This window comes from Homo sapiens, chromosome 9 (genome assembly GCF_000001405.40).
Source record: "Homo sapiens chromosome 9, GRCh38.p14 Primary Assembly".
NCBI classification, from domain to species: Eukaryota; Metazoa; Chordata; class Mammalia; order Primates; family Hominidae; genus Homo; species Homo sapiens.
The window spans coordinates 85,720,012-85,742,376 of NC_000009.12; the positions used below are offsets into that span (position 1 = coordinate 85,720,012).

Consider the following 22,365-nt stretch of genomic DNA (forward strand, 5'->3'; position numbering starts at 1 on the left):
AACTTGATTGTGGTGGATAAGCTTTTTCTTGTGCTGCTGGATTCAGTTTGCCAGTATTTTATTGAGGATTTTTGCATCGATGTTCATCAGGGATATTGGTCTAAAATTCTCTTTTATTGTTGTGTCTCTGCCAGCCTTTAGTATCAGGATGACGCTGGCCTCATAAAATGAGTTAGGGAGGATTCCCTCTTTTTCTATTGATTGGAACAGTTTCAGAAGGAATGGTACCAGCTCCTCTTTGTACCTCTGGTAGAATTTGGCTGTGAATCCGTCTGGTCCCGGATTTTTTTTAGTTGGTAGGCCATTAATTGTTGCCTCAATTTCAGAACCTGTTATTGGTCTATTCAGAGATTCAACTTCTTCCTGGTTTAGTCTTGGGAGGGTGTATGTGTCCAGGAATTTATCCATTTCTTCTAGATTTTCTAGTTTATTTGCATAGAACTATTTATAGTATTCTCTGATGGTAGCTTGTATTTCTGTGGTATCAGTGGTGATATCCCCTTTATCATTTGTTATTGCATCTATTTGATTCTTCTCTCATTTCTTCCTTATTAGTCTTGCTAGTGGTCTATTTTGTTGATTTTTTTCAAAAAACCAGCTCCTGGATTCATTGATTTTTTTAAGGGATTTTTTGTGTCTCTCTCTCTCTCCTTCAGTTCTGCTCTAATCTTAGTTATTTCTTGCCTTCTGCTAGCTTTTCAATTTGTTTGCTGTTGCTTCTCTAGTCCTTTTAATTGTGATGTTAGGGCGTCGATTTTAGATCTTTCCTGCTTTCTCTTGTGGGCATTTAGTGTTGTAAATTTTTCTCTACACACTGCTTTAAATGTGTCCCAGAGATTCTGGTACGTTGTGTCTTTGTTCTCATTGGTTTCAAAGAACGTCTTTATCTCTCTGCCTTCATTCCGTTATGTACCCAGTAGTCATTCAGGAGCAGGTTGTTCAGTTTCCATGTAGTTGTGCAGTTTTGAGTGAGTTTCTTAATCCTGAGTTCTAGTTTGATTGCACTGTGGTCTGAGAGATAGTTTGTTGTGATTTCTGCTCTTCTGCATTTGCTGAGGAGTGTTTTACTTCCAATTATGTGGTCAATTTTAAAATAAGTGCAATGAGGTGCTGAAAAGAATGTATATTCCGTTGATTTGGGATAGAGAGTTCTGTAGATGTCTATTAGGTCCACTTGGTCCAGAGCTGAGTTCAAGTCCTGGATATCCTTGTTAACCTTCTGTCTCATTGATCTAATATTTACAGTGGGGTGTTAAAGTCTCCCATTATTATTGTGTGGGAGTCTAAGTCTCTTTGTTGGTCTCTAAGGACTTGCTTTATGAATCTGGGTACTCCTGTATTGGGTGCATATATATTTAGGATAGTTAGCTCTTCTTGTTGAATTGATCCCTTTGCCATCATGTAATGGCCTTCTTGGTCTCTTTTGATCTTTGTTGGTTTAAAGTCTGTTTTATCAGAGACTAGGATTGCAACCCCTGCTTTTTTTTTTTTTTTTTCTTTCCATTTGCTTGGTAGATCTTCCTCCATCCCTTTATTTTTAGTCTATTTGTGTCTTTGCATGTGAGATGGGTCTCCTGAATACAGCACACAAATGGGTCTTGACTCTTTATCCAATTTGCCAGTCTATGTCTTTTAATTGGGGCATTTAGCCCATTTACATTTAAGGTTAATATTGTTATGTGTGAATTTAATCCTGTCATTATGATGTTAGCTGGTTATTTTGCCTGTTAATTGATGCAGTTTCTTCATAGCATTGATGGTCTTTACAATTTGGCATGTTTTTGCAGTGGCTGGTACCAGTTGTTCCTTTCCATGTTTAGTGCTTCCTTCAGGAGCTCTTGTAAGGCAGGCCTGGTGGTGACAAAATCTCTCAGCATTTGCTTGTCTGTAAAGGATTTTATTTCTCCTTCACTTATAAAGCTTAGTTGGCTAGATATGAAATTCTGGGTTGAAAACTCTTTTCTTTAAGAATGTTGAATATTAGCCCCCACTCTCTTCTGGCTTGTAGGGTTTCTGCTGAGAGATCCACTGTTAGTCTGATGGGCTTCCCTTTGAGGGTAACCCGACCTTTCTCTCTGGCTGCCCTTAATATTTTTTCCTTCATTTCAGCCTTGGTGAATCTGACAATTATGTGTCTTGGGGTTGCTCTTCTCAAGGAGTATGTATGTGTTGTTCTCTGTATTTCCTGAATTTGAATGTTGGTCTGCCTTGCTAGGTAGGGGAAGTTCTCCTGGATAATATCCTGAAGATTGTTTTCTAACTTGCATCCATTCTCCCCATCACTTTCAGGAACACCAATCAAACGTAGATTTGGTCTTTTCACATAGTCACATATTTCTTGGAGGCTTTCTTCGTTTCTTTTCACTCTTTTTTCTCTAATCTTGTCTTCTTGCTTTATTTCATTAATTTGATCTTCAATCACTAATATCCTTTCTTCGACTTGATCGAATCAGCTATTGAAGCTTGTGCATGCGTCACGAGGTTCTCGTGCTGTGGTTTTCAGCTCCATGAGGTAATTTAAGGTCTTCTTTATACTGTTTATTATAGTTAGCCATTCATCTAACCCTTTTTCAAGGTTTTTAGCTACCTTGCGATGGGTTAGAACATGCTCCTTTAGCTCAGAGAAGTTTGTTATTACCAACCTTTCTGAAGCCTACTTCTGTCAACTCATCAAACTCATTCTCCATCCAGTTTTGTTCCTTTGCAGTGAGGAACTGCAATCCTTTGGAGGAGAAGAGGTGCTCTGGTTTTTTGAACTTTTCAGCTTTTCTGCTCTGGTTTCTCCCCATCTTTGTGGTTTTATCCACCTTTGGCCTTTGATGTTGGTGACCTACAGGTGGGGTTTTGAGGTGGATGTGCTTTTTTTTTGATGTTGATGCTATTCCTTTCTGTTAGTTTTCCTTCTAACAGTCGGGCCCCTCAGCTGCAGGTCTGTTGGAGTTTGCTGGAGGTCCACTCCAGACCCTGTTTGCCTAGGTATCACCAGCAGAGGCTGCAGAACAGCAAATGCTGCTGCTTGATCCTTCCTCTGGAAGCTTCATCCCAGAGGGGCACTCACCTGTAGGAGGTGTCTGTCAGCCCCTACAAGGAGGTGTCTCCCAGTCAGGCTACATGGGGGTCAGGGACCCACTTGAGGAGGCAGTCTGTCCGTTCTCAGAGCTCAAACGCCATGCTGGGAGAGCCACTGCTCTCTTCAGAGCTGTCAGACAGGGAAAATTAGGTCTGCTGAAGCTGTCTGCTGCCTTTTCTTCTGGTAGGCACTGCCCAGAAGTGGAATCTAGAAAGGCAGTAGGCCTTGCTGAGCTATGGTGGGCTCCACCCAGTTCGAGCTTCCTGGCCTCTTTGTTTACACTGTGAGCACAAAACCACCCATTCAAGCCTCAGCAATGGCGGACGCCCCTCCCCCACCAAGCTGCAGCATTGCAGGTTGATCTCAGACTGCTGCACTAGCTGTGAGCAAGCCTCCATGGGCGTGAGACCTGCTGAGCCAGGCACAGGAGGGAATTTCCTGGTCTGTGGGTTGCGAAGACTATGGGAAAAGCGCAGTATTTGGGCAGGAATGTACCGTTCCTCCAAGTACAGACTGTCATGGATTCCCTTGGCTAAGAAAGGGAAATCCCCTGACCCCTTGCGCTTCCCAGGTGAGGCGCTGCTTCAGCTTGCCCTCCGTGGGCTGCACCCACCGTCCAACCAGTCCCATTGAGATGAACCAGGTACCTTAGTTGGAAATGCAGAAATCACCCGTCTTCTCCATCAATCTCGCTGGGAGCTGCAGACCGGAGCTGTTCCTATTTGGTCATCTTGGAAGCCTCCTCTGGGTTGACTGTCCTTCTAAAAGAAACCCTAGAGAAAAAGCTCTTCCCTCCCACCATGTGAGCACACAATGAAAAGGCACCATCTATGAACCATGAAACAGATCCTCACCAGATATGAATCTGCCAGCATCTTGATCTTAAACTTTCCAGCCACCAGAACTGTTAGAAATAAACATCTGGCCGGGTACGGTGGCTCATGCCTATAATCCTAGCACTTTGGGAGGCCGAGGAAGGTGGATCACTTGAGGTCAGGAGTTCAAAACCAGCCTGGCCAAGATGGAGAAACCCGAACTCTACTATAAATACAAAAATTAGCCGGGTGTGGTGGTGAGTACTTGTAATCCAAGCTACTCAGGAGGCTGAGGCAGAAGAATCACTTGAACCTGGGAGGCAGGGGTTACAGTGAGCCAAGATCACACCATTGCACTCCAGCCTGTGCAACAGAGTGAGACTTTGTCTCAAAAAAAAAAAAAAAAAAAGAAAGAAATAAACATCTGTTCTTTATAAGCTACCTACTCTATGGTATTTTGCTGTAGTAGTGCAAATAGACTAAGACAACTTTGAAAATTATCATTACTGAATAACCAGTTATATACAAACCTGTGTCAAAACCAGTTTTTGAGAGAACAATCAGTTTATTTCTATAAACTTACAAATGCTCAATATATGCCACATCATAACACATACATTAATGCCACAATCTACTTTATCCTAGACCCTTAGCCATTTATCACCATTGTTTACTACAAAAGCAACCAAAATAGATTATTTCCTCAAGGTTGTGGGGAAAACCATATCCGCATAAATACTCACATGGTATAATATCTAAGACTTCACTGGCCACTACTTGATTCTTTTTATTCACACAATAACACAGACAACTAATTTAACAATGTGTTATGCCTATTATCTATCTCTTTCCACTGGAATTAAAGCTCCATGAGGGCATGGATCTTTGTTTTGCTTACTAAATGCCTCCCAAGTATCTAGAAGAATGCCAGCACATTGCAGGTGCTAAATAAATTTTTTAATTAATGAATGCTTTTAAGTTTTCTTTTGAAAAAAAATTTTACTACACAAACAAGCAAGAAAGTCTTCATTTTTAAAAATCCAGTAATATGGCAGATACGGTATAATGGCACACAGTATCTATCCCAATTTCCCTCTACCGTGCCTTCCTATACCACAGGAACTTGGAAGTTTAAAAACCAAAAAGCATTTCCCAGACTCCCCTGCACCCTGCAGCTACACTTCCAGTTGTAACTTAAGTCTACCAAATTCGTCACTTGTGAGAGATTTCGAAGATGAGCAAAAGCTGCCTGATTATAGAGGAAAGCATAGACACAGACATGTTCAGTTTTTCTACAACAATGTATGAAGAGGTCCCAGAGTGTAAGGCAGGGATTCTCAACCTGGAGTCCACAAGATATTGAAGATACTGCTTGAGTTCTTTGAGAGATCAGAAATTTAACAAAAAAATTAAAAAAAAAATTTTTTTAACTTTTGTGCATCAAGCAATGGCAGTATTGACAGTAAATGAACAACCTCATTAACAATTGTGTTAGAAATTAGCCATGTGGTAGTGCACAGTAAAACCATGTTTATTGAGATACAGTTGTCCTTGATAACTGGTGGTTGCTACGCATAGGGGGAGGATGGTAGGGGGCTAATGAACATCAGCCTCTCCCTCTCAAATTACCTCCACAAACCTCTCCATAGGCACCGCCAACTACCTGATATAAGCAAAAAAGCTCTACAAGTGTAATGGAAAATTGGAGAGAAATTTTAATTCTGATGAAAAGGCCAGCCACAGTGGCTTACACCTGTAATTCCAGCACTTTGGGAGGCCAAGGTGGGAGAACTGCTTGAGCCCAAGAGTTCGAGACTAGCCTGCACAATATAGGGAGACCCCATTTCTGCAAAAAATTTAAAAATTAGGTCAGGCGCAGTGGCTCACACTTGTATTCCTAGCACTTTGGGAGGCCAAGGCGGGCGAATCACCTGAAGTCAGGAGTTCGAGACCAGCCTGGCCAACATGGCGAAATCCCGTCTCTACTAAAAATACAAAAAAAAATAGCCAGGCGTGGTGGCACACGCCTGTAATCCCAGCTACTCAGGAGGCTGAGGCAGGAGAATTGCCTGAACCCAGGAGGCAGAGGTTGCAGTTTGCAGTGAGCCAAGATCATGCTACTTGCACTCCAGCCTGAGAGACACAGCAAGACTCCATCTCAAAAAAAAAAAAAAAAAAAAAAAAAATAGCCAGTGTGGTGGCATGCACCTATGGTCCCAGCTACATGGGAGGGTGAGGTAGAAGGATCGCTTGAGCCTGGAAGATTGAGGCTACAGTGAGTCATGTTCACACCACTGCACTCCAGCCTGAGTAACAGAACAAGACTCTGTCTCAAAAAAAAAAAAACAAAAAACAAAAAAAAAGAAAAATGTTTACATGTTGCAACTCAGTTACCCCCAATGTTTTGCTATTTGGCGCAAGCTTTGCAAAACATGGACAAAATTACAATGGAGTTATATCATGAAAATTTAGTTTTGTGATTTTTCTCAATTAGTTTTTTGCTATGGTCTTAAGTCTTATACATTAACATCTGTGTTTTACAAATGCCCGATAATCCGATGTGGTAATTTCTGAGGATGAAGTGTGAGAATAGGGCCAAAGGAAAATTCCAGTAAGGTTGGTAAAGAACTGTATCTAGTGAGTCATTTCATTGCACTAGTGCATCAAGAGACATAAAACAAGTCCCTCTTTACAATGCAAATAAGTATCAATGGATGTATACATGGGCTGTACTAAGTTTTCCTATACCATTTTGTGTTGTCTGTGGAAAACAACTTTACAAATACAGCAATGGTTCCAGCAAAATTCAAAAGACACTTAAATACAAATTACATTCATTTGACAAGTTAAGTGTCAAATATACTGGAATCTCAAAACAAACAGAATAAAGATTTTGTTTTAAAAAAAAATCAGTGAAAAGACTGAGGCAGCAAGTTACATAGTAGTAGAATTTATGGCCCAGAAAAGGGAAAGTCACACAATTGGTGGTGAGAATCTACTATAAGTATAATAAAAAAGTGTAAAATTACACTGAGTAAAAGATCAGTAAAATGTTTATATGAGATACAGAAAGAGAAACTGAAAAAAGTTCTACAGTACATGTTGAGCACCCCAAATCTGAACATCTGAAATCCAAAGTGCTCCAAAATTCGGCCGGGTGTGGTGGCTCACGCCTGTAATCCTAGCACTCCAGGATGAGGTGGTCAGGTCACCTGAGGTCAGGAGTTCGAAACCAGCCTGGCCAATATGGTGAAACCCCGTCTCTACCAAAAATACAAAAATCAGCCGGGCATGGTGGCACGCACCTGTAATCCCAGCTACTCGGGAGGCTGAGGCAGAAGAATCACTTGAACCCAGGAGATGGAGGCTGAAGTGAGCCGAGACTGCACCACTGCACTCCAGCCTGGGCAACAGAGGGGGACATCGTCTCAAAAAAATAAAAGCAAACCCCACTTCACAACACAGTGTTTTCTTCACAGAGAGATGCTGGTGTCAAAAGCCCTAGGAAAGGAAATTTTTAAAGTTCTAATTGAAGCTCCAAAAAAGTATTAACTGTTATATAAAAACCTGCTCATTCAACAGTGTTTAAAGAACTGTGTAAAAACGTGGATGAAGAGGACATAAATCTACTACATACAGAAATACAGTGGCTTAGCAGAAGAATTCTCAACAGGTATCTAAGCTGAAAGACGAATTCCAGGAGTACTTTCACAAACACAGCAGACCAGATTTTGCCAAGTATTTTGAGAATGAAGAATGGCCCAATCTACAAACATTTGTTATCACATGAAGTAACTGAACAACTCTCTGCCAGGCCTTAGAGAAAATATTTTTAAGGCCAGTTGTGTTGATTCACACTTGTAATCCCAAGTGCTTTGAGGAGACCAAGGCAAGAGGATCACTTGAGGCCAGGAGTTCTGGACCAGCCTGGGTAACATAGTGATACCTCCATCTCTACAAAAAAATAAAAAAATTAAAAAAATTAGCTGGGCATGGTGGCATATGGCTGTAATCCCAGCTGCTTGGGAGGCTGAAGCAAGAGGAATCCCTGAGTCCAGGAGTTCAAGGTTGCAGTGAGCTATGACTGCATCACTATACTCAAGCAAGACCGTGTCTCAAAATATATATTTATATACACACACACACACACACACACACACACACACACACACACACACACATATTTACTTCAAGTGACAAGATTCTTGGGAAAAAAAATCCTGTGATTAAAAAAAGGCAATCTTAAAACGTTTCCATTGTTTCTTGGGCTTGTGAGTAAGAATGTTTATCTGCAAATCTCAAGTCTTGCTGATATAGGAGAAAAATATTGAAAAGGAAAAGTAAATAGTATTTCCCTTTTCTTTTCAAATAAATGTAAGACTGAGGAAGGAACCCTTTCTCTGAATCTTGTGCTCAGGCTGAGAACTTAACTTTGAGGAGGAGGAATTTTGCTCTTCCTCCTCACTGATTATACACTTAAGATGAGATTTATGCTCTTGATTATACACTCGAGATGAGATTTACTGATCTACCCCTAAAAAAGTTATGGATTTCCCTGAACCAGTAATGTCCTGCCAATCATAGGAAAGTAATGAACATTTAGCTGCAAGTTTTCAACTTCTTAAGTTTTTTCTTACTTAACAAGCACCTACAGCAAGGAGGAACTGTCTCATGTCAGATAAAAATGAAAACTGTGAATGCTTATTTCAAATTAAACAAAACAAAAACAGGTTTCATGTGAACAAGATGAACTTCTTTTAGTTTTAAAAGGCAATTTTATTGTATATGTTAAAGCCTACAAAAGATGAAAAAAATCAAAACACATACAAATATTTTGTTAACTTGTGGACTTATATTTCAGCCTCACCTTGCCAATCAGAAAAAAAAAAAAAGTTGGCTTATTTCAAAATCTTACATAAATTATGACTTGGACTATATTTTTATTAGTATTACCTTGGCTTATGGTTTTTAATAGCTTTGCTATTTGATATTGTCAATAATTTTCATGGTATATTAGGTGCAAAAGTAATCACAGTTATTGCCATCACTTTTAATGTTAATTGTACTTTTAATTAAAAGTAATGGCAAAAACTGTGATTACTTTCACACCAACCTAAATAAATAACATTAATTAAAATCAGCTAGTAGTAGCATAAAGACAGACATACAGACCAATGGAATGAAAGTCCAGAAATAAACTCATATATCTATGGCCAATCGATTTTTGACATGCATGTCAAGTCCATTCAGTTGGAAAAAATAGTCTCTTCAACAAATGGTGCTGGAACAACTTGATATCCACATGCCAAAGAATGAAGCAGCATTACTCACAACAGTCAGAAGATGAAAACCACCCAAGTGCCCACCAATAGATGAATGAACAATACATGGTAGAAACATACAATGGAATACTATTCAGCCATAAAAAGCAATGAAGTTCAATATACGCTACAACATAAATGAACCTTGAAAACATTACACTAACTGAATTAAAGACCTAAATGTAAGACCTAAACCATAAAACTCTTAGAAGAAAACACAGTGAACAAGTTGCTCAGCACTGGTCTTGGCAATTTTTTGCATAGGATCTAAAGTATGGGCAACAAAAACAAAAACAAATGGGACTACTACGTCAAACTAAAAAGTTCTGCACACCAAAGGAAATAACAAATGAAAGACAGCCTATAGGTTCGGAGAAAGTATGTGCCAGCCATACATCTAGATATATAGCTTATCTCAAGATACAAGGGGTTAATATCTTAAATACATAAGAAACACAACTCAATAGCAAAAAAAAAAAGAATGACCCAATTAAAAAATCAGCAAAAGACCTGAATACTCTTCCAAAGAATATATTAAAATAGCCAACAGGTATATAAAAAGTTGCTCCACATCACTTATCAGAGAAATGGAATTCAAGACCACAGTGAAATATCATCACCTCACACCTGTTAGGATGGCTATTATCAAAAAGACAAGAGACCTAAAAGTTATTTCACAGCTCCTCCAGGGTATAAAGATTTAGAAAAGTTGGGGCAGTCACTAGCAGGCAGCTGGTGCACACCAGAACAGGCCCAACATGGTTCTACAGCTAGTAAGGATAGTCTGAGGTTCCTGATTACCAGAGCCTCCTGACCTCAACTGTTTCCAGATTCTGAAACAGCAGTGTGGTTCCAGAAATGAAGCTCTAGAAGCAATTTCACAATTAGACCAGAGGTTTCCTAATCATAAAAGAGGTAACTCTCTTGGTTTCCCAGTTCTGTGGTAAGATGTGAGAGTTGTTCCTTAAAGCTCAACCTATGTCTCTTTCTTCAGATCTCTCAACTTAATTCCTCCTAAGTAAGCCACTTAATGCCTGTGCCAGATATTGATTTATTGCCCCTCATCTCCCAATTCGCCCTTTTTGTCTGCTCTGTGAAAATGAATTTGTGTCCTTTAAATATCTTTTTTATCTGCCAGCTGACATGACATTAAGCTGTGTCAGTAGACGGCTCTGGAAAAGCATTGCAAGGGAAAAGAATTGGGCTTCCTAGTTCCAGGGCATTCACTTGGCTCCAGTAGGCAAGGCTTTTCCAGGGACCCACTCCTTCAACAAGGATGGTTCTTCTACCACCAGGCTCCTCAGTGTGTGCTGCTTTTCCAATAAGAGCCTAGGTAGTTTTGTAGTAGAGGTCTCTGATGAGATACCTCTTCATAAACAGCATTCCCTGGTACCCTAAGGGGTAAATTTCCAGCAAATGCCACTAGTGCTGTACCATAGCTTGAACTTGCCCTTTGACATAGCCTTGAACGTGCCCTTTCCAATAAGATCTAAGTTCATCTGGAAGATGGAAACGCACTCTATCTTAGTCCTGGGATAGTCACTGCTCCTTATATCTGCTATTCCTATATTCTTTAGCATTATCTTTACTTCTCACTGGTAAATCTCTTATTACTCCAATCCCCTGTTACAGTCAATAATTCCTTATATTATTCTTTCCCTGTTAAATTACTATGTGGTTTCTATCTCCTGATTGAACCCATACTGATACATTCCAACAATTCTTTAAACTATTTAGCAGCCTATGGTAAACCTTCTCTTTGCTTAAGGGAAAGTAGTTCTTTCTCTACAAGTGTGTCTTTACTGTTTTATTTTTAAATGAAGGATTTGGGCCATGGAGTAGGAGAGGAATCGTACAATATCCTCAGAAATGAAATGAAGTTGTGACATCAACTTTTTTAAATTAGGAAGTGATACTAATCATGCATAGCCAGGGTCAAGAACCATTCCTAGGTCAGCCTATTCAATATTTTAATTGGAACATTAACTTCATCTTAAAGTACTATCACTCCTGTTATGCCTAACTGCTATTTTGAAACTTAGCCTACTATGAGATACCACTTCACAACCAATAGAATGGCTAAACTTTAAAAAGACAGATAATAACAAGTGTTAGCAAGGATGTGGGAAACTGGAACCCTCACACATTGCTGACAGGAATGTACAATGGTGCAATTACTTTGGAAGTAGTTTGGCAGGGTTTTTTTTTTCGGGGAGGGAAGTGTTTTGGTTTTTTTGTGTGTGTTTGTTTGTTTGTTTTTGAGACACGGTCTTGCTCTGTCACCCAGGCTACAGTACAGTGGCACAAACAAGGCTCACGGCAGCCTCAAACTCCTGGGCTCAAGTAATCCTTCTGCCTCAGCTGGGACCACAGGTGCACACCACCAGCCACCTAATTGTTTTTTCCATTCTTTGTAGAGACCGGGTCTTGTCATATTGCCCAGGCTGGTCTCAAATTCATGGGCTCAAGCAATTCTTCCACCTTGGCCTCCCAAAGTACTGAGATTACAGGCATGAGCCACCAAGCCCAGCCCAATGATTATGTTATATTTTAGTCCAATCTTCAAACAGGAAAATTGATTTCACCTATTTTATTGTCATTAATTTTATCAAAAAGTATGGGTAAGAGTAAATCTACAAAAAGCTTATGTATCTTTCCTGATCATGCATTCTTATCAAAACCAAACAAATCTGTAAGGTTCACACACTACTCCACAAAAAATGTTCAGATACTTATAAAAAGTCTAATTAGTTTTGCTTTGTGACATTTCCATTTTACTATCAATAAATGAGGTAGGTTTGAAGAGCAGAATCTCATTACCCTTCAACTATTAAATGATTTGTTTAAAATAACTCTTCCTCCAACTCAGATTTCAACTATTTTCAGACTTAAACAAAGCCAAAATTTCTAAGTCTATACAGATGATAAATGAGATTTAAAATCTTACCTTGAAACACACATTTTTCTCTGCCTCTAACCTATGACTATGACCCTTTTTTTTTTTTTTTTTTTTTTGAGACAGAGTCTTGCTCTGTCGCCCAGGCTGGAGTGCAGCGGCGTGATTTCAGCTCACTGCTAGCTCCACCTCCTGGGTTCCGGCCATTCTCCTGCCTCAGTTTCCCAAGTAGCTGGGACTACAGGCGCCCACCACCAGGCTCGGCTAATTTTTTGTATTTTTAGTAGAGACGGGGTTTTACCATGTTAGCCAGGACGGGACTATGAAGAAACCACTATAACTCAAATAGTGGTTTGGGTTTTTTTGAAGAAACCACTTTATGAAGAAAACCACTATAACCCAAAGTCAGCTCCAGCTAATATCCCAATATAAATCAAAATATATAAAATATGAGGAATAAAAACAGCTAATATGGCATATAAAAAACAAAGAACAGAAATAAGTAATTTACTTTAGGAAGTAATTACTTTAAATGTAAAGGGATTAAATTTGCCAATCAAAACACAAAGACTGGCAGAATAGATTTTTTTAAATGATCCAACTGTATGTTGTCTGCAGGAGACTTACTTTAGATCCCATTGCACAAATACATGGAACGTGAAAGAATGGAAGAAGATATTCCATGCAAATAGTAACCAAAAGAGAGCAGGAAGGGCTATACTAGTATCAGACAAAACAGACTCTGAATCAAATAAGTTTACAAGAGAAAAAGTATATTATATATTAATAAAAAGTTCAACAGAGCAAGAAGATAAAACAATTATAAACATTTACACACCAACAAAATATATGAAGTAGTTACAGATCATCAAAATACGAGGTAAAAATTAACATAATTATGGGGAGAAATACTTCTATAATAAAAGGTGGATACTTAATACACCATTCTCAATGAGGAAAAGAACAACCAGAAAGAAGTGAAGAGAGAGATGATTTGAACAACACAATGAATCAACTAGATCTAACATATATTTAGAACAAGGTACTCAACAACAGAATATAAATTCCTCTCAAGTGCACACAGAACATTCTCCAAAACAGGCCACATATTAGGATACAAATTAAGTCTCAATTGCTTTTAAAAGATATTTATCATACAAAGTGTGCTCTCCAACCTCACAACAGGATTAAGTTAGAAATCAATCTGAGAAAGAAAACTGGAAAATACACAAATTTATGGAAATTAAACAACGTACTCTTAACCAATGAATCAAAGAAGAAATCACTGGGTTAACCAGAAAATAGACACAAATGAAAGCAAAGACATGACATACCAAAACTTACAGGATATAGCAAAAGCAGTGCTGAGGAGAAAATCTATAGACATAAACACATTAAAAAGGAAGACAGATCTCAAAACAACCTATCTTTACAACTAAGGAACTACAAAAAGAAGAACTAAACCCAAAGTGAGCAGAAGGAAGAAAATAAAAAAGACCAGAGGAGAAATAATTAAAATAGAGACTAGAAAAACAATAAAGAAATCAACAAAACCAAAAGTTGGTGCTTTGAAAAGATTAACAAAACTGACAAACCTTTAGCAAGATTTAAAAGAGAGAGGACTCAAATTACTAAAATCAGAAATGAAAGGGGAGACATTCATGACCAATTCCACAAAACCAAAAAGGATTATAACAGAGTACTGTGAACAACAGTACACCAACAAATTGGATAACCTAGATGAGATAAATTCCTAGAAACACAAAACCTACCAAGCCTGAACCACAAAGGAATAGAAAATCTAAATAGACCCATAACTATTGAGGAGATGTAATCAGTAATTAAAAACCTCCTTACAGGCTGGGCACGGTGGCTCACGCCTGTAATCCCAGCACTTTGGGAGGCCAAGGTGGGCGGATCACAAGGTCAAGAGATCGAGACCAGCCTGGCCAACATGGTGAAACCCTGTCTCTACTAAAAATACAAAAAATTAGCTGGGCGTGGTGGCGCGTGTCTGTAGTCCCAGCTACTCAGGACGCTGAGGCAGAAGGATCGCTTGAACCCAGGAGGCAGAGGTTGCAGTGAGCCAAGATGGCACCACTGCACTCCAGCCTGGCGACAAAGAGAGACTCCGTCTGAAACAAACAAACAAAAAAACCTCCTTACAAAGCAAAGCCCTGAATCTGATGGCTTCACTGGTAAATTCTACAAAATACTTAAAAAAAAAAAAGTCCAGTTCTTTTCAACTCTTCCAGAAAAGTGAAGAAGGAACGCTTCCTACCTCATTCTATAAGGCCAGTACAGCCCTGATACCAAAGTCAGACAGATGTTACAAGAAAATGACAGACCAGTATTCTTTATGACCATTAATGCAAAACTCTTCAACAAAATACTAGGAAACCAAATACAGCAACATGAAGGCAAATCAAAACTACAAGATATCACTTCGTAGCTATTAGGATGGCTGCTACCAAAAACAAAACAAAAACACAAAATAGTAAGTGTTGATGTGCATAGATTAGAATCTTTGTGCACTATTGATAGGAATATAAAATGGTGCAGCCACTATGAAAAACAGTATGAAGGTTCCTTGAAAAATTAAAAATAGAATTACCATACAATCTGGCAATTCCACTTCCGGGTATATACTCAAAAGAACTGAAAGCAAGGTCTTCCATGGGAGGCCGAGGCAAGTGGATCATGAAGTCAGGAGACAGGGACCATCCTGGTTAATACGGTAGAACCCCGTCTCTACTAAAAATACAAAAAAAAATTAGCCAGGCATGGTGACACACACTTGTAGTCCCAGCTACTTAGGAGGCTGAGGCAGGAGAATCACTTGAACCCAGAGGCAAAGGTTGCAGTGAGCTGAGATCGCGCCACTGCCCTCCAGCCTGGGCAACACAGCGAGACTCCATCTAAAAAAATTTTAAAAATAAATAAATAAAAAGCAAGGTCTTGAAGAGATGTTTACATACCTAGATTCAAAGCAGCATTATTCACAAGCAACCCAAGTGTCCATTCATCAACGGATGAATGCATAAACAAAATCTGGTATATACATATAACAGATTATCCAGCCTTAAAAAGAAAGTCCTGACACACGGTACAACATGAACGAACCTTGAAGACATTGTGCTAAATGAAATAAGCCAGTCACAAAAAGATAAACGCTGTATGATTGATTCCACTCATGTGACCTACTCAGAGTTGTCAAATTCATAGCAACAGAAAATAGAACAGTGCCTGCCAGGGAATGGATTATGGGGGAGGGGGAGAGTAATTGTTTAATATATACAGAGTTTCAATTTGAGAAGATAAAAGAAGTTCCATAGATGTATGGTGGTGGCTGCCGCACAACAATGTGAATATACTTGATGCCACTAAACTACACACTTAAAAGTGATTTAAATGGTAAATTTTATGTTATATATGTTTTACCACCAATTTTTAAAATAAATATTTTTTTAAAGATCAAAATATGAACCTTGTGTTAAAAATTGGGAAAAAAGTTGTTTCAAATATAAATAAAAGTTAAAATCAATAAGATTAAATTAAAAGGTGAGAGATTAGTTTTCACCATGCACCAAAAAGGAGTCTAGAAAGTGTGTTGACCATAAATTAATAAACCTAAAGAGTTCTTGTTAAAATAATATTTTTTAATTCATTAAACTCTATTACATGTAGGCAGTGTTCAGATTTTTATTAACATTATCCGACCATAAATCCCTCTGGCTGACTTTATTATTGTTTTTAATCCCTATATAACCAATATCCTTATAATCTTCATAATTTTAAATCATTTTCCCCTTAAGGAAAAATGTGAGGCAAAGACAGCAAGTGCCTGGAATTTCTCCATAGGGCAGTTCATTCTCAGCATGAATTAAGTGAGAAATGAGCAGAGATTAAGAAGGGAAACCAGGTCACTTTTTTTTAAACTTATGAGTTAGATATTAGTGGAGCTTTTCACGTTGTGCCTTCACTGTTTAATATTTACATTCCCAAAATGTTAAATTTGAACATTTATATAGAAATGTACTACCGGGTCTGATTTTTGTTTTTAGATGGTATTCAGATTACTAATACTATAATCCCATTGTATCAGCACCTGACTAAAACCATTAAGAAACTTTCTGTGAATAACCTTTATTGTACTTAATTTTGTATGTTAAAATATTTTTCTTTAAATTTTTTAACTGGCACATAATAATCATATGTATTTATGAGGCACAGTGATCTTTTGATACATGTAATGTATAGCAATCAGATCAGGGTAATTAGCAAATCCATCATCTCAAACATTTATCATTTCTGTGCATTTGATATCCTCCTGGCTATTCGAAAGTATATATTATCAATTACAGTCATCCTATAGTGCTAGAGAACACTGTAGAGCTTATTCCTACTATCTAGCTATAATACTTTTTTTTAATAAGACCTTTACCTTTACCCAAAGCGTAAAACAAAAGCAAACAAGAGACTGTCACTACCACTTCACTTCTTAATCAAACGTTTGTGAGAAAGCCTCTTTAAGATTTAAATCCAGAAGTTCTAAAAGCACGGTGCGTGGGCCCCTGTGGTCCTGACACTCTTTTAGGGGACCCACAAGTTCAAAACTATTTGTATAATACTAAAATTTAAAATCTTAAAATTACTGGCATCTTGGACTGAGTTAAAGTCACCATCAACCACCAACAATTATAAAACAAGAAAAAGCCAGCCATGGCTCACGCCTCTAATCCCAGTACTTTGGGAGGCGGACACAGGCGGATCACAAGGTCAGGAAATCAAGACCATCCTGGCTAACGCGGTGAAACCCCATTTCTACTAAAACTACAAAAAATTAGCCAGGCGTGGTGGTAGGCGCCTGTAGTCCCAGCTACTCGGGAGGCTGAGGCAGGAGAATGGCGTTAAGCCAGTAAGCGGAGCTTGCAGTGAGCAGAGATTGCACCACTGCACTCCAGCCTGGGCGACAGAGCAAGACTCCATCTCAAAAAATAAAAAATAAAAAGACAAGAAAAAGCCAATGTCACTTAAGAATGTCCTTGAAACAGTAAAAATTATTAATTTTTATGCACCTTTTTATGTGACAAAATGGGAACTTTCCATGAACCATTTCTGCTACATACTGAATTACAATAGTTGATGGCTGTCTCAAAGTAAAGTGCTTCTGTAACTGAATTGACAGCTTGAACTAGCCTCTTTTTTAATGAAAGTGACTGAAAGAATGATTGACAGACTATGGTTACTCAAATTGGAATATTTTGGCAGAGGTTTTCTCAGAAATGAATAAACTGAGCTTGTCACTTTAAGTAAACAAGTCACATTTGTTGCCAATGATAAAATTTGAGCTTTCAAGCAAAAATCCGAATTCTGGAAAACTCATATCCACCATTGTCATGTCAAGACCTAAACAGCTTCCCAATAATTTGTCTCTAACAAAATGGGTGGTGATATTAACAACCATAACTTTCTTTAATATTGCATGATGAAAGATGTCAACATTTGGAAGATCTGCATAACACTGAACCAATATTTACAAATGACCAAGGAATGATGTTACAATCTCAGGAATGAGTATAAGACCCATTCAAAGTTCCAACCAATGGGTTTTACTAGAGCATGCAAAAATCCACTTACTGGATTTCTCACGGCATCTAACCTTTAAGAAATTGCCACTTACTGAGTTTTAATATAATACCAAACAAGAATGTCCACAATTATCGGAAAAGGCTATTAAAATGCTCCCTCCCCGGCCTCCCCACCCTGTTTAGCCATTAACTATGTGAGACTGGATTTTCTCCATATGTATTTCAACCCAAACAACATATTGCAATAGACTGGATGCAGGAGCAGATATGATAATCCAGCTGTTTCCATTAAACCAGACAGATTTACAAAAAAAGTAAAACAATGCCACTTTTCTCACTACCTTATTTTTTGTTTTAAAAAAAAGTTGTTTTCATTAAAAATAGGGTGTTTATATTAACATGTAAAGAGTTTATAATTGTCATTTTAAGTGAACTGACAATTTATATTTCCCTTTTCATTTACAATACAGTAAACATAGATAAATTCACAAAAGCTTTTTGGGGATCCTCAACAACTTTTAACAATGTAAAAGGGTCCTAACCAAAAGTTTGAAAGCATTTAGAGTTTTAATATTAGATCCCTGCAAACCAAGAACAAGTATGTAAAATCATACTGGAGGGAAAAAAAAAGTTCCTAGGAAAATTATATGAAAGCTGAAAATGAACACAATGTCAAATCAAAACTGATTTCACACTATATAATATCAATAAAAAAGAAAATGCTTAGATAAAAAAGAATGCTTAAAAAAATTGATTTTGTGTGCCCTGGAAACAACATACAATATTCTGATCAAATAAACAAGTACATACCTACCAATATTTTGACAGATCACATTTTTGATAGCGGCACATTATAGTCAAAGAAACACCCAATCACAAACTCAAAAACAGATGATTAAAAGATTAAAATAGCAGCCATCACCAACAGGAGGGAGACAATCCAAGGTTCTGTCAGAAGGGACAAACGGATTTATCAACAGCTCTCCAGTAGCATCCCAGGGCACCCAGCTCAGGGTCTAGCTGTTCTATTTAAAACTGACTTACATGTTTCCAAGGCAGGAGGCAGGACAGTGAGACTAAGCTCTCATTTAACCCCAAAGGAGCAAATGGGTCATAGTGGAATTAATCTGCACTAATACTGCTCCATCCCCCAAAAGTCCTTTTTCTGCTTACTAGATCCCTTTGAAGACTGAGGAAGAGCAACGGTAATAATAGCAATATTTACTGGGCACTTACTACATGCCAGGCACTGTGGGCTAAGCACTTTACTTGTATTAATCACTTAATATTTGAGAATATCTTAAGAGTATACACTAATATTATGTCATTTTTGGAGCTGAGAAAATTAAAGTACAAAAAGGACAAATAACTTGTCTTAAAAAAATAAAAATAAAAATAACTTGCCTAAAGCAAAGCCAGGACCCAAACCGAGCCATCTGGCTCTGAGGCCCAACTCCTTAGCCACTACACCATAGTACACAGGCACAGTAATCAACAATAACATCTGAAGTTTAAAATTCAGTGCCCACCCTACAAAATTTATGTTGTTTATACTGAAACCCATTGCCTAAGGAAAGCTCCCATCTTGCAGATGGCCCTCTGACAGGTGCATCCATTGCTATTCACGCACTGTTCAACTTTCAGATAGTGGGGGACTTCAAGCAAGAAAAGCAGATTTGGGAAGATGAATACTTTGGATGAGGTTTAAAAAAATTCAGGCCAGGACGGGCGTGGTGGCGGACGCCTGTAATCCCAGGACTTTGGGAGGCCGAGGTGGGCAGACCACCTGAGGTCAGGAGTTCAAGACGAGCTTGGGTAACATGGTGAAACCCCGTCTCTACTAAAAACAAAAACTTAGCCGGGCGTGGTGGTGTGCTCCTGTAATCCCAGCTATTCGGGAGGCTGAGGCAGGAGAATCGCTTGAACCCGGGAGGCAGAGGCTGTAGTGAGCCAAGATCGTGCCACTGCACTCCAGCCTGGGCGACAAGAGCGAAACTCCGTCTCAAAAAAAAAAAAAAAAAAATTCAGGCCAAGCTTGGTGGCTCACGCCTGTAATCCCTGCACCTTAAGAAGCTGAGGCTAGTGGATCACCTGAGGTTGGGAGTTCGATACCAGCCTGGCCAACATGGTGAAACCCGTCTCTACTAAAAACACAAAAATTAGCTAGGCGTGGTGACGCGCGCCTATAATCAAGAAGCTGAGGCGGGAGAATCGCTTGAACCCGGTAGGGGCAGGTTGCAGTGAGCCGAGATCGCACCACTGGCACTCTAGCCTGGGCGAGAGAGTGAGACTCCGTCTCAAAAAAAAAAAAAAAGTAAAATACAAATTACAAAATTTCATAACTGTTGGACCTCTTTTCCTTCTGCTAATGGAAGTAAAACCATTATTATATAGCAGCCTAGCCAGACTTTTCTAAAGAGAAGAATGCCTCAATTCGGAAAAGCTTTATAAAAATTGCTTCTACAAAAGTTTAATTAATAGATTTAAATGCTTTGCAATGTTGGCCAAATACGAGGGTAGTTTTAAGCCTATCCACTTCATTTCCGAGTTCAGAGTGAGTCTGCAGTTGTAATTATGTGATTAATCAATTCAAGGCAGAGTTTTGTGATCATTAAAAATGAACCTGTAACTTCACCATAGAATTTAACTTAAGAGAAGTGGAATGGGAAAAAGAGCAAGTCATATTAGAACTCTGCCTGCATGATGAGAAACAGTGGGTAAGGCACGACTTATTATTTCGCAGTAATTCTACATAGGAAATACAGATCTTTCAGAGTTTTGTTTGGTTTTGACATTTGGCACATGTTTTAAAATAAGCACCATTTAAAGTTCCTTAAATAAATCATTTCTTTTTTGGCCTACTGAACTAAAAACATTCCACAATACAATTACAAAAATAACTTTCCGGTTTTCTCAGACAACCAGTTTATAAGAATAATTCAGAAGTTCACAAAGGATAATTTGATTTACATAAAGCTTAAAAAACGGACATAAAAGGTAAGTGAAAATGACCGATTAAGAAGACTGTTAAGGTCCTTTCTAACTACAAATTGTCATGCATTGTAATTAAACACAACTACAATGTTAAACACCTGAAGGAAAAAACCCACATAGAATTAATACTGCCAAAGAAAATTTCCGCTATCTTCAGGCACTTGAGTAAGCTATGTTAAAACGGGAAATGGGCTTTAAATTATCAACATTCACATCGATTACACTATGATGCATGAAAACTCCATTCTACAATGAGTAAACGCCCAAGAAAGGAACCCAACCAACTCCAATTGCCCTGGTGCTCGTAAGAGGTTTATACCGCACAAGGGGTAAAACAACGGTAGAGTCGAGCAAGCCTTTGGGTTACAACAGTCCTTGAACACTTGCAATTGAGAACCCGCAATTCAGGAAGGAAGACACTAAGGAAACTCTGCACTGTCATCCAGGGTGATCTGATTCAGGTTCAAACCAAACGCTCAAGGCGACAAGTTGTAAACAGAAGACACACTTCAGCTCAAACCACCCAGCGAGAGGAAGCAAACGTGCCCATCGCCGATGTCACAGCAAATCCCACCTTGCTGGCGCTCAGTCGGGAACGCTAGAATTCTCGAAGCACAGGGGCCCGCGATTCAGCGGCCCGCTACCACTGGGGCGGGGGAGAGCGGGGCTGGGCGCGCCCGCCCCCGGCCCTGCAGCCCCTCGGCTGGACTCCCCGCGGCGCCGCGAGCTCGGGCCCGAGAGAAAGGGCTGAGCAGAAAGGGCGGCCTCCGCCCAGAGACCGCGCCCGATACCCTCCGCAAGGTCTGGGACGGGGATCCACCGAGGGTCCGGGGACTGGGGAAGGCGTTTTCCAGACCCAGTCAAAGCCCCACCCCGTCAGGGCTTTCCCTCAAGACCGAGTGCGTTCCCCTCACGCGTCACATGTGTAACATGCGTTACACAACCCGTCAGGTAAGGGGCGCAGGGATCCGGGGTCGCCCCTCCTACCCCCGGGCGCCGTCGCTCGCATCTCCCGCGGCCCGGGGAGAGCAGAGGGACGGCCGGCCGGGACATGAGGACTGCAGCAGGGCGCTCACCGGCTCAGGATGGGGCGCTGGCGGGGACCGCGCAGAGCCGCAGCACCCGGCTCAGCACCTGGATCACGGCGGATCCCTCGCCGCCCGCCGCCCGGTGTTTTCATACAAACCCCGGTGGCAGGCGAGGCGGAGGCGGCGGCGGCGGCAGCTGCGGCGGCGGCGCTGGAGGCGGCGGAACCTGTCCGCATCCCGGGCAACGTCAGCGCGGCGCCCCGCCCACCGCACGCCTTGCCAGCCGGCTCCCAGCACGCGCAGGGAGTGGGGGCGGGGCGTGCGAGGCCGCGAAAGGGGCGGGGCGGAGCGCACGCCCTCTTCCCGCCGCGTCCCTTGTTACCTCCGTGCGCGCTGCGCCCCGCCTCTCTGCGCGCCTGACGGGAGGGAGCGCGCGCGTGGGGGCGGAGCGCGCACGGGAGCGGGAATTAGGGGCGGGTGTTCCGCGCGCTGCCGGTCCCTTGTACCCAGCAGCCCCGGCCACCGCCCCTCCGTACCGAACTGCGAGCGACTCCCCACGTTCTTCAAGTCATCTTTCTGTACACTCCCAACGAGGGCCCCAGCCTTTTCCCGGAACTAAGCCCGCGCCCACCCCCTCCCCCGCCATCAAT

The 22,365-nt window shown here is 40.3% G+C and overlaps 1 protein-coding gene across 22 annotated transcripts in view, besides 5 other annotated features; it reads right to left on the reverse strand.

Annotated features, from left to right (window-relative positions):
• AGTPBP1 (ATP/GTP binding carboxypeptidase 1) overlaps positions 1–22,365 on the reverse strand; it is a 258,945-nt gene that overhangs the window by 173,473 nt on the left and 63,107 nt on the right. For 6 of the 22 annotated variants that reach the window (NM_015239.3, NM_001330701.2, XM_017014545.2 and 3 more), the window contains exon 1: positions 21,764–21,943. The exons of 9 other annotated variants lie outside the window; for them this stretch is intronic. Coding sequence is in view for 2 of the 13 variants with exons in the window: in NM_001286717.1 (NP_001273646.1) it covers positions 21,764–21,951 (188 nt within the window). In the remaining 11 variants the exon portion in view is untranslated. Of the gene's footprint in view, positions 1–3,717; positions 6,072–21,261; positions 22,019–22,365 lie in introns of those variants that run through there. 7 more of the 22 variants (NM_001286717.1, NM_001286715.1, XM_047423096.1 and 4 more) reach the window with 5 other exon arrangements.
• Positions 2,810–3,486: an enhancer, noted in NCBI's record as "NANOG-H3K27ac-H3K4me1 hESC enhancer chr9:88337736-88338412 (GRCh37/hg19 assembly coordinates)". NCBI's record gives its function as "activates a minimal SCP1, AML or CMV promoter by ChIP-STARR-seq in primed H9 embryonic stem cells {active_cell/tissue: H9 hESC(primed)}" and the evidence as "EXISTENCE:reporter gene assay evidence [ECO:0000049][PMID:30033119]".
• Positions 3,487–4,162: an enhancer, noted in NCBI's record as "NANOG-H3K27ac-H3K4me1 hESC enhancer chr9:88338413-88339088 (GRCh37/hg19 assembly coordinates)". NCBI's record gives its function as "activates a minimal SCP1, AML or CMV promoter by ChIP-STARR-seq in primed H9 embryonic stem cells {active_cell/tissue: H9 hESC(primed)}" and the evidence as "EXISTENCE:reporter gene assay evidence [ECO:0000049][PMID:30033119]".
• Positions 20,957–21,106: an enhancer, noted in NCBI's record as "active region_28513". NCBI's record gives its function as "activates an Ori minimal core promoter by ATAC-STARR-seq in GM12878 lymphoblastoid cells {active_cell/tissue: GM12878}" and the evidence as "EXISTENCE:reporter gene assay evidence [ECO:0000049][PMID:35858748]".
• Positions 21,277–21,596: a silencer, noted in NCBI's record as "silent region_19987". NCBI's record gives its function as "represses an Ori minimal core promoter by ATAC-STARR-seq in GM12878 lymphoblastoid cells {active_cell/tissue: GM12878}" and the evidence as "EXISTENCE:reporter gene assay evidence [ECO:0000049][PMID:35858748]".
• Positions 21,667–22,266: a silencer, noted in NCBI's record as "silent region_19988". NCBI's record gives its function as "represses an Ori minimal core promoter by ATAC-STARR-seq in GM12878 lymphoblastoid cells {active_cell/tissue: GM12878}" and the evidence as "EXISTENCE:reporter gene assay evidence [ECO:0000049][PMID:35858748]".